Source organism: Homo sapiens, chromosome 6, assembly GCF_000001405.40.
Source record: "Homo sapiens chromosome 6, GRCh38.p14 Primary Assembly".
Taxonomy (NCBI): domain Eukaryota; kingdom Metazoa; phylum Chordata; class Mammalia; order Primates; family Hominidae; genus Homo; species Homo sapiens.
In genome coordinates this window covers 106758529-106770756 of record NC_000006.12, presented here as the reverse complement: position 1 = coordinate 106770756, position 12228 = coordinate 106758529, and the positions used below count along the sequence as shown (strand labels likewise).

The 12228-nt window shown below is 42.5% G+C and overlaps 1 long non-coding RNA gene across 3 annotated transcripts in view, besides 1 other annotated feature; it reads left to right on the top strand.

Moving 5' to 3' along the window:
* Positions 1-12228, top strand: part of LINC02532 (long intergenic non-protein coding RNA 2532) — a 70090-nt gene that overhangs the window by 16785 nt on the left and 41077 nt on the right. The window lies entirely within an intron of this gene.
* Positions 6773-6822: an enhancer, noted in NCBI's record as "active region_24894". NCBI's record gives its function as "activates an Ori minimal core promoter by ATAC-STARR-seq in GM12878 lymphoblastoid cells {active_cell/tissue: GM12878}" and the evidence as "EXISTENCE:reporter gene assay evidence [ECO:0000049][PMID:35858748]".

Here is a 12228-nt window from a genome sequence, read left to right as displayed (position 1 = left end):
ACTACTCCCCAGGACTAAAGCCTATGTCCTAGGAATAAAGGCAAAACCAAGATAGGCCCACCCTGACAAAGCCTAAAACCAACTCTTCATAGCCGCATTATGCAATATAGTAACTTCTAGGCACACATGGCATTTCAAATTTAATTAAAACTAAGTAAAATTTAACATGTAGTTCCTCAGACACACTAGCCACATTTCAAATGTTCACAGACACATGTAGTTAATGGCTATGATACTGGACTGCACAGACTACAGAATATTTCTATCATCATGGAAGTTCTATTGAATGGCATTGCTCTATAGGATCAAGACTATGCTAGTAATTTAACTGCTTGATAGAACAAATGTCAAATTTCTTCTAAGGAAGATAGTAGACTCCAAAGTCTTTTTAATATCATCCAAAATGCTCAGCATACAATTTTTAAAAATTACTAATTGTGCAAAGAATCAGGAAAATGTAACCTACAGTGAAGAGAAACAACAGGTGATAAACATAGACTCACAAGTGACCCAGATGTTAGAATTACAAAAGACTTAATAACTATAATAAGTTAAAGAGTCTATAGGAAAATATATCTGTAGTAGCTGAAGAGATGGAAAATTTTAAGAGAGCTATGGAAACTTTAAAAAAGAACCGAATGGAAATCCTGAAACTGAAAGATACAATATCTGACATTGAAAATGCATTAGTTTGGAATTAACAGCATAATGAACACAACATAAAAAATCAGTGAGGCTGGATGCGGTGGCTCACGCCTGTAATTCCAGCACTTTGGGAGGCCGAGGTGGGCAGGTCACTTGAGGTCAGGAGTTCAAGACCAGGCTGGCCAACATGGTGAAACCCCATCTCTACTAAAAATACAAAAATTGACCTGGCGTGGTGGTGGGCACCTGTAATCCCAGCTACTCAGGAGGCCGAGGCAGGAGAATTGCTGGAGCCAAGTAGGCAGAAGTTGCATGTGCTGAGATCACGCCACTGCACTCCAGCCTGGGTGACAGAGCAAGACTCTGCCTCAAAAAGAAACATTAAAAAAAAATTAATAAATAAATAAGAAATCATCAGTGAACTTGAAGACCAGTCAACGGATATTATTTAATCAGAAAGAAAAAAAGATTAGAATAAAAAGAAGAATAGGGCCTAAAAATCCTGTGGGATAATATCAAGCAGTCTAACATATGTATATTTAGAGCTCCAGAAAGAGAAGAGAAACAGAATGAAGTAGAAAAAGTATTTGAAGAAATATTGACTGGAAAGCCAGGCACAGTGGCTCACACCTATAATCTCAGCACTTTGGGAAGCCAAGATGGAAGGATTACTTGAGCCCAGGAGTTCGGGACCAGCCTGGGCAACATAGCAAGACCCAGTCTCTACAAAAAAATTAAAAAATTAGACAGGCATGGTGGTGTGTACTTGTAGTCCCACCTACTCAGGAGACTGAGGCAGGAGGATCACTTGAGCCCAGGGGGTCAAGGCTGTAGTGAGCCGTGATTGTACCACTGCCCTCCAGCCTGGGTGATGAGTGAGATGCTGTCTCAAAAAAAAAAAAAAAAAAAAAAAAAGAAAGAAAGAAAGAAAGAAAAGAAATATTGACAGGAAAATCTTCCGGTTTGATCAAAAACAGTAACCTCAGCAAACTCCCAGTAGAATTATTTCAGCCATTTAGATGTCTCTGACCCAAAACCCAGCCCCACCCAACTCACTGACAAGACACAAGGTAATATACAGACCAAGAATTTCTGCAAGGATAATAGGGCCTGAGATGAGGGTACAGATATTCAGAGGCAGTGCCGACACTGAAAAAATTCCACAGGTTTCTTCTCAGAATCTTGCTGACTCCAGAAAACAAGTCTAGAGTATACTTTTCCTACTGAAGGATCTGACAGTCCTCTTTCAGGCCACCCTGAGACGGGCTCCATAATATTTTGAAAGTATTAGGTTGATTTGACTTTAGCTTCAATTCTACTTAAAGGAAAGATATATTTAGATAGAGAATAGATTTCTGGGAGCTAGAGAAAATGAGGCAAAAAAGAGCTAGAGTAAAGCTAACCCAAAACATAGATAGCCCCTTATCAAGAATCGGGTTGAGTGGAATGAAGAAAAAGTTGGCAGGATTTACCCCCACAATGATGCACACATTCTTGGTGGGGGCCCTTAGTTACATGGGTCAGGAACTAATAAGTCCCTGTGGCACTTTTGATGCTTTCTGTGGCAAGTAACAACAACAACAATCATCACAATCATAACAACTTATCAAACTGACTTAAACATAAGGAAATTTGTTATTTCACAAAACTGAAATTTTAGGACTAAACTCAGGACTTTTAAGTTGCACCTTGAATAGCTAAACAGAGTGTTGAGTTGCACACTTGTCTGGCTGAACAAATCAGGAGCTGGTTGATTCAGAAGCCCAATGATGCCAACACAGACCCATGTCTTTCCTTCCCTCTTCTGCTCTTCTTGTCAAAGGTTTCACCTTAAGGTCAGTTCCCTTCAAGTGTCAAGTATACATGTGCATACCTGGTCATATCTAGCAGGAGAAAGAGAAAACAAGAAAACTCTTCCCTTGATCAAGGAGTGTAAGTCCTTCGCTTTAGCCTGATTTAACCAAATTAAGTTGTACCTATAAGGAAAAAGGTAATTTGTCTTAGGTAGTAGCAATGAGATTTTAGAACTGATACTGGTTGGGTACCTTCAAGTCTGTGTTTCTATACAATTTCTTAACATGGGCCTCTGATATTAGGGAGATTCTGGAGTTACATATCTTGATAATTTAGGAGTAAATTTCCCTTAGCAACAGTTAATTATGCCTTAATTTATTTTGTGTTGCTAAAGAGCAAATGATGAACCCATTGAGTTGCTGTTGAAGCTTTGATTTGAATTTAGTAATTCCTGATTGCCTGTATCATGGGACTTTCTCTAGTATTAGACAATCTTCCAGTTCCTCAAATGAGGCATGTTCTATTAGGCAGCAACTGGTGTGTTTGAGACCATTTGTAAGTATTTTAGGTGATAGACAATAATACACATAGTGCCAATGATAAAGTCAATCCAGTCACAGGACCACCCAGAAAATATTGGGGACTCTAACAAAAGGAGCAACAAAATCCAAAACAATCATAACAAAAAATGAAAGAGGGAACACTGAATTTGATGAATTAAAAATTATGAGAAGATTTTTGTTGGAAATATTCAGATGGCAGTAACTTCTAATGTGACTAAGCTATCCTGTTGCATAGTGAAACCAGTTTGCTAAGTACCTTTTGTTTTGTTTTGTTTTGTTTGAGGCAATGTCTTACTCTGTCACCCAGACTGGAGTGCAGTGGTGCTACTACAGTTCACTGCAGTCTCAATCTCTCAAGCTCAAGCGAGCCTCCTGCCTTAGCCTCCTGAGTAGCTGGGACCACAGGCACATGCCACCACAGGCACATGCCACCACACCCAGGTCATTTTTAAAAATTTTTGGTAGAGATGAAGCCTCACTGTATTGCCTAGGCTAATCTCGAACTCCTGTGCTCAAGCAATCCTCCCACCTTGGCCTCCCAAAGTGCTGGGATTACAGGTGTGAGCCACTGCACCAGGCCCAAAGTACATTTTTCACACCTGATTGGATTTTGTTCTAGTTGGCCTATCCACTATGTGGTATGAGTATACTTCCTGGGTAATGAGAATGGCAAACACTTGTGATTACCTAGTTGTCAAGATGATTACTAATTCTAACCTAGCATTCTAATCTAGAGTTCGTTTCTAGATTAGAATTAGTAATCAAGTCACAGTGAAAGAAAAAAAGAGTTTCTGGGAAGGCAGAAGGAAAAATTGGTAAATTCACTTTTACTGTTTACATATTGACTTGTTTTTCTTAATGTTAACTGCAGAATTTGTTTCGTCATCCAAGGTGCAAATAAAAGTCCTGAGAGTTTAGTTCTATGTCATCTCTTTTATAAATAACAGATGTCAGTTATACTGCCATGCACCTGTTAACCTCGGAGGCACCCTCACTGCCCACTAACCCCCTCCTTGCTCTAGAGGTGCCGAGAATGGGTGAAAGCAGAGGGGGGATACCCAAGCCAAAGTGAAGCAGAGGTAAAATGGCATGGAGAAAATCACTGCAGGACAATACAAAGTCAAGGTCAAATGATGGGATGAGACAGAGACATAGAGAAAACCATCCAGAGAACACTGGCCTAAAGCAATCCTTGGTGGTGGTGATGGGGGTGGGCGGGGGGTTCTTTTGAAACCATGGTGTTTGGTAAACTAGGAAATAAAGAGATGAAGGTAAATATCATGCCAGCCTCAGCAAACAGCAGCTGGAACGAAAGAAACTCAAGGACAGCCCTGAGCATGGAGAAAATAGTGCTGGGTAGGCATTGTTCTCCAGAGCCAGAGCACACACACAGAGGCCACCACTGAAAGTGAAGGACAACTGGAGTTGGGAGTACGTGTGCATCTTTGAAAAAGGCATAGCGCTTTCTGGAGACAGACACTGATTTTGAAATCATTTTAATGGCAATTCTTTTCACAAGCTGTGACCCAAACATACTCAAGTTGAAGTATCACCTCTTTTTCCCTGGTTACTTCTGCTGCCTTGGCTTATCTCAGGAGACCTTGGTATCTCAACCCTGATATTTTCTCCTCCATCTCCTTGCCTGAATTAAAACTCTTCTTTACCCAGAGAGCACTGCTTTTCTTGCAGCCCTCTGGAGTCCTTTTCCACACCCTAGATATCCTAGATTAGGATGTGGATGTGGCTGCCCCCTCATTCCCTAATGCAGCCCCCAAGCATTCCTGTAAAAATGGCTGCTCCTCTGAAGTTCAGGTAGTGTTGTTCTTGTCCACTGGTCTCCGGAAACTCCCTCTTGTTCCCCAAGGACTTTCCCTTCTTGCTTCTAGTATTCCCTCACACCTCAACCCTGTCATCCTCCGGAGAAGCGTTACTGTACCCATGGATGACCTAGTCAACACTCTGGCCTCTCAATGCCTTCATCTACTTCACTACCTCCAGCACCCACCTCTCAGTGGCACCTGGATCTTGTTACCTCTTCCATCTCCTTCTCTGATGACAGCTCCCTCATTCCAGTCCACTTGCACACCTGCTCTGCATCTCACCACACAAGGTCCTTAGACCCTGGCCACTCTACTTTTCCTTATCCATTAACCCACTCTGCCCTTGTTTCTCTTTGAAGCCACATTAAACTCCACAGTCCATTATCTTAGTCACTGTCTTGCCAATACCCTAAACTTACTGGCCTATTTTTTCCTTTCATCACGTCCACCTGGGCGGGGGGTATCCTAGAAGAACTCAACAGCATACTTTCTTATTTATGTCTCTCCCTAGGCAGCAAAGTATGACTAGAGAGAAATATCCCAGCCTACAGCCTGCACCCAGTCACCACCTTCCCTGATTCTCAAACCTCCCTCACCCCTAGGGAATCTCACCGTCCTCCTCTTGTCCCTCACCCTTCTGTCTCTGAAACGACCATTTTAAACTTTCTCCACTTCTCAAAGCTTTGAGCCCCCATCTCATCGCTCACTCCAGTAGATGTCTTTGTTCTTACTTCACAGAGGAAATAGATGCGCTCTGGTAGCAATTACCTCACTTCCTGCCACCGGCTCCTATAAACCAACCTGCACCTCTGCGCCCATCCTTTGCTCTTCCCATCTGGCAAAATGGAACTGATGTCTCTCCTCCTACAAAGGTCAAGTCTCTTCTTATGCCATGGATTCCAGCCTTCTTAGGAAAGGTACATTATAAATCCTCCCCTTTTTCTATCTTTGAATTGTTCCTCTCTAATGGGCCCTTTTCATCAGCATCTAAACATGTTCCAGTCACTCCCATTCTAAAAAATTCTATTCCTGGACTCCAAATTTCCTGTTCAGTTCTACTGTTTTTCTCCTCCCCTTCACTCCTAAACTGATTGGAAGAGTTGTGCACAATCATTGTTTGCCCTTATTCATTGCCTGTTTACTTATCAGCCTTCTCCAACTGGCTTCCTTCCCTATTCCTCTATTAGAACTTTTTTTTGCTGAAGGACCCAGTGACCTCCATGGCCCGAAATCCCATGGGTACTCCTTGGTCTTTGTATTATATGACCTCTCAGCCTACTTCAACAAAGTTGACCCTCCCTTCTTTTGGAAAAAGCTATTTTTCTTGGTATCCAAACTACCACACTCTCCTGGAAGACACCCAGCTGTGTCTCTCTCTGGCTCTCTTTCTCTGTCCCTTTGCCAGCTTTTCCTCTTCTACCTGACCTTTACACATTGGAACTCCTCAGGTTCAACCTTAGATCCTCTTCTCCCACCCTAGCTGCTTAAATCATCTCAACCACCCATATTGCCTTGCCTCTATGCTGAGAGCTTTCAGATTTATACGACAGCCCAGAATTTCCTCCAATCTCCTGAGCCATGTAAGTACCTGCTTTGCACAAGCACCTCATACTAAGGTTGTTTAGAACATCACTGCCTTTCCTAATGTGTTTGAGATTTTTGCATTTTCCCTTCCAGATCCACTCTCTACCCAGGAGGCTGACATAGTTGACTACATCCACTGGCTCCCTTGCCTCTAGCTTTGCCCTGGGTATGGCCACTGGGGATCCCTGGCAGGAGACTGGAAATTAGGGAAAGGGTGAAGTCAAGGTGATTTTTCCCTCAGCGCTGTTTCTGTGAGGTTGCCACAGGCTGTCTGAGTCTCTGGACTGAAGGTCACTGCCTCTCTTTTCTTTATGCTCCACTGCTAGCTCTTGGTTATCACCCTCTCTCTTGGGATTTCCCTGTGCCCCATCTACACCACTGTAAACACCTCCCTCTTTCAATCATCCTAGTTTGAATGTACCACCTGTTTCTTGCTGGCAATGAGACTGATACAGTAACTGATACTAGAATTTTCACTAGGAAATAGAGCCTCAAAATGGGATTTGGGATTGGGTTGATCATGTATGAGGAGCTGAAATATAACCTTGTGGGAAGTGGGGGGGTTTGAAGGATAAACATGAATGCTAGTAATCTGCCTGCAGTAGCATTATGCACATTATCAGTGGTCATAGCATGGATGGAGAGTAAAGGGAGGGCAAGTATTTCAGAAAACCATCAAGCTGGGTTTTTCCTCTGCTCTCTCACCACAACACAACAATCAGTACAGAAGAAGACTTCTGTGACCAAATGTGGGAGGGGATGGGTTCCTCACATATCAGTAGTAGACAGCAGCTGGGTGTCTTCCAGTTAAATCTGACACTACCTGGAAATAGTGTCAGATCCCACAGGTTGAGGGCTCAGTCCCCAAGACTGCAACTTCCCTCCCATCTCCCCACATACTGGCCACAAGTCCTGACCTCCAAAACTTCTGAATAACTGGCTTCAAGTTGAGATTCCCAAGAACCCCCCTTTGGTTTCCATTAATTTGCTGGAATGGCTCACAGAACTCAGGGAAACAACACACTTACCAGTTTATTACAAAGGATATTATAAAGGATGCAGATGAGGAGATGTGTAGGGCAAGGTATGAGGGAAGGGACATGGAGCTTCTACGCCCTCCCTGGGCACACTGCCTTCCAGGAACCTTAATGTGTTCAGCTATCTGGAAGCTCTCCAAACTCTGTCCTCTCGGGTTGTTATGGAGGCTTCATTACGTAGGCATGATTGACAACTGTGTAGAAATGTGATTGGACAAAAAGTGCATTATCTAAACCCCACAAAGCCCATCTGTTTAGACTTTACTTGGCCTCTCTGTGTACCATTCCTTCCTCTAGGGTATGGGGCAGGACTCTCTCTGGAATGAAGGTTTTTTGACCCACAATCAGATTACAGTCCTGCCTTGGGCAGGTGAAAGAAGGAGAGGAGAAGGTCAGAGAGAGAGATTCTGTTTCCTGAGGTCTAAAGTGCCCCAACATTATAAAAGGACTATGGGAGTTAGGAGCCAGGAACTATGGATGAAAACCAACATCTGTATCATAATATCATAACAAGACACTGGGAGATGAAGTGACTGTGGCTGTTTTTGTTCATCTTTTGCTATCGTAACAGAACACCACAGACTAGGTAATTTAAAAAGAATAGAAGTGGCCGGGCGCAGTGGCTCACGCCTGTAATCCCCGCACTTTGGGAGGCCGAGGTGGACGGATCACAAGGTCAGGAGATTGAGACCATCCTGGCTAACACCGTGAAACCCCGTCTCTACTAAAAAATACAAAAAATTAGTCGGGTGTGGTGGCGGGCGCCTGTAGTCCCAGCTACTTGGGAGGCTGAGGCAGGAGAATGGCATGAACTCGGGAGGCGGAGCTTGCAGTGAGATAAGATCACGCCACTGCACTCCAGCCTGGGCGACAGAACGAGACTCCATCTCAAAAAAAAAAAAAAAAAGAAGAATAGAAGTTTATCTGGCTCATGGTTCTGGAGGCTGGGAAGTCCAAGATTGAAAGGGCTGCATCTGATGAAGGCCTTCTTTCTGTGTCATAACAAATTGGAAGGCATTAGAGGGCACCCAAGAGAGGGCAGGAGAAGAAACCAAATTTTCAAGATAACTAACCCACTTCTGTGATAACTGCATTAATCCATTCATTAGGTTGGGGCCCTCATGATCTAATTACCTCTTAAAAGTCTCACCTCTTAATACTGTCACAATGGCAATTAAATTACAACATGAGTTTTGGAGGGGACATTCAAACCATAGCAGTGACACTTCATTGTTCTGTCAAAAGTAGTGATTTTAAAGATTATGGAGCCAGCTGGCTATGTCTTATAGTTATGGAGAGCATATATAGACAAAAAGATAAATTAAGAGCTATAGCTATATATTGAAGAATACTTGTGTGTAGAGTCAAGCCTCTGTGGAAACCTTGAGGGGATCGCAGCAATCTATTGGTGTTGCACTTCACAGTCAAGCCCTGGGCCTCATTGCAAGGTTTGCAGAATTTCTGCAGTAATTAAAGGTTCAACCTTGCCAGGTCTCTAGTGCTAATGAAACGCACTAGTGGGACATAGATGAGGGTGAGAACTTTGAAACCTAAATTTCCCGAAGACCTCTTTCTGGAAAAAAATACTTTTCAGTGACTACACCTGGAACCGTTGCCTCAGGAAGTGATGCCTAGTCTCAGACCCACTCCCTCTCTTCTTTTTGCCTCTGGTTCTATAACAAGAATTAGATTCCAACATAGCCCACAAAAAGAGATATATAAGACCTGCTCCAGAGTGATAGAGACTATCCACTGAAAGAGTTACAAGATCTTGACAAATGGGAGCCAGAGGAGTACATGTAATGGGGAGGTTTCTGGGGGTGTTAGAACAAGGGGGAAACTATGTAAGGCTCTGTCAGGCTAAGTTTATGGACATGGGACATCATCTAGGATTCACAAGTTGCTCAAGCACCAGGAAGTTGTGTTTTTAGTCTGCTAGATTGGCTCAAAGCCTGGAGTCAATGATGGCCTATGGTTATTTGTGTTGAAATTGTATAACTTCAGTGAAACCGCCCACGTAATTTCCTGCCATAGATTTTTTTTTTTTTTTTTTTTGAGACAGGGTCTTTCTGTGTCACTCAGGCTGAAGGGCATTGGTGTAATCATAGCTCACTGTAGCCTCAAACTCTGGGCTCAAGGGAGCCTCCCACCTCAGCCTCCCGAGTAGCTGAGACTACAGGTGTGCACCACCATGCCTGGCTAATTTTTTATTTTTTGTAGAAACAAGGTCTTACTATATTGCTCACACTGGTCTCGAACTCCTGGACTCAAGGGATCCTCCTGCCTTGGCCTCCTAAGTGCGGGGATTACAGATATGAACCACCACGCCTGGCCTCTGTCCTAGATTGTATAGTGTAAGGAGACATACTCAGTAACTGTCTGAACCCCCATGTTGGTTCCGTGAGGACTATTATGGTAGGAAGGACCAAAAGAAAGCCCCAGATACTAGCCACCACTTCTCTGCCTCCACTCCCAAAAGAAAATCGAAGCAATATTGTATTTTTGTCGCCATTAGATAGCCCAAAAAGCATACCTTTCCAGCTTCCCTCTTACCTTCAACCCTTGATATACCTTCCTCAAACTCTTCATAGGATACTTTCCTGAGAGCCCTGTTCTGCCGCAGATTCCACTCCCCTGTCTACAGCCTTCTGCTGTCTTTACAGAAACTTGCCTCTCCCTGATCCCAGCTCGCTTGAGACACTGCTCATTATCCCATAATCTAGAGAGATTTGTAATCAACCATTATTGGCATATTTCGTTTATCCTTAAAATGAAAACATTTTTAGAAATCATGATAGAAAGACATGTTGTTGTAAACCATTGCAACAATACAGAATAATATAGAGCAAAAACTAAGTTTCTTTTCCCTTTCTCTTCTCCAGAGATAACCACCATTTTCTATTTATTTGCTCACATACAATCTGATATAGGGCTTTGTTTATTACAAATATAATCACACTCTGCTCCTATTTTTTTGTGAGATGTTTTTCTCATGCAACAGTATATCATAGACCTCATAGTATGTTATATAGATCCACCTTATATATGTTTCTTAAACTTTTTACTTTGAGGCAATGGTAGGATCACATGCAGTTGTAAGAAACGATTAGCACTGTATGATGATGTGTACCTGTAGTCCTAATGATGTAGGACAATTGCTTGAGACCAAGAGTTTGAATCCAGCCTAGGCAATGTAGAGAGACCCTTATACGTATTTTTAAAAAATGTTGCACAGAGATCCCCTGTTCCCTTTACCAATTTTCTCCCATGGTAATATCTTGCAAAATTATGGTACAATACCAAAACTAGGATATTGACATTGATACAATCCATCAATCTTCTTCAAACTTTCCCAGTTTTCTCTGTACTTATTTGTGTGTTAGTTCTATCCAATTGTATCCTGAGTGTGGGTTCATGTATCGACCATCATAGTCAAGATACAGAGCAGTTCCATCACCAGGAGAATTTGTCCTGTTATCCTTTTATGGCCACACCCTCTTCCGTCTTGCCCCTTCCCCACATCTCTAACCCCTGACAACCACTCATCTGTTCTCCATTTGTGTACTTTGGTCATTTCAGAAATGTTATATAAATGGGGCCAGGCATGGTGGCTCATGCCCATAATCCCAACACTTTGGGAGGCTGAGGCGTGTGGATCACTTGAGGCCAGGAGTTTGAGACCAGCCTGGCCAACATGGTGAAACCCCATCTCTATTAAAACTACAAAAATTAGCCAGGCATGGTGGTGTGTACCTGTAATCCCAGATACTTGGGAGACTGAGGCACAATAATCGCTTGAACCTGGGAGGCAGAGGTTGCAGGGAGCCAAGATCATGCCACTGCACTCCCGCCTGGGCAACAGAGTGAGGATCTGTCTCAAAAAAAAAAAACAACTATATAAATGGAATCATTTAGTTTGATTTGGTTTGTAGCCTTTTGGGATTGCTCTTTTCAGTCAGCATAACTTCTTGGGGATTCATCCAAGTTGGTATGTGTATCACCTTTTTATTGCTAAGTAGTATTCCACGATTTGGATATACCACAGTTTGTTTAACCAGCATTCAAGAACATCTGGATTGTTTTCAATCTTTGGCCATTATAAATAAAGTTGCTATGAATATTTATGTATAGTTTTTATGTGAACATAAGTTGTTGTTTTTTTTTTCCCCTGGGATAATTGCCCAAGGGTACAATTACTGGGATGTATAGTAATTGCATGTTTAGGGGAAAATGGTCATACGCATATTCTGCAGATGTAACTATAATGTAGGGCAATATTTTAGGAAAGTAAATTGGCAGTATTAAGCCAGGCATGGTGGCTCACGTCTTTCGTTTAGGAGGCCAAGGCAAGAGGGTCGCTCAAGCCCAGAAGTTTGAGACCAGCCTGGGCAATGCATTGAGACATTGTCTCTATAAAAAAAATTTTTAGCCAGGCATGGTGGCACCCCCCTATAGTCCCAGCTACTCAGGCATGGCAGTGTGGAGGGTGGGGAGCAGTGGGAAGATTGCTTGAGCCCAGGAAGTCGAGGATGTTGTGAGCCGTGATGGTGCCACAGCACTTCAGCCTGGGTGACAAAGTGAGACCCTCTCTAAAAAATAAAACAACAACAACAAAAAAACCTGGCAGTTTGTATCAATTTTTAAATTGCATATAAAGTTTAATTCAATTTTGCTGTTAGAAACCTATTTTATAGAAATATTTATGTATTTGCTAAGAAATATATGTACGAGGATGTTCATTGCAGCATCATTTGCACTAAAAAATTTTTAAACAACCAAAAGATT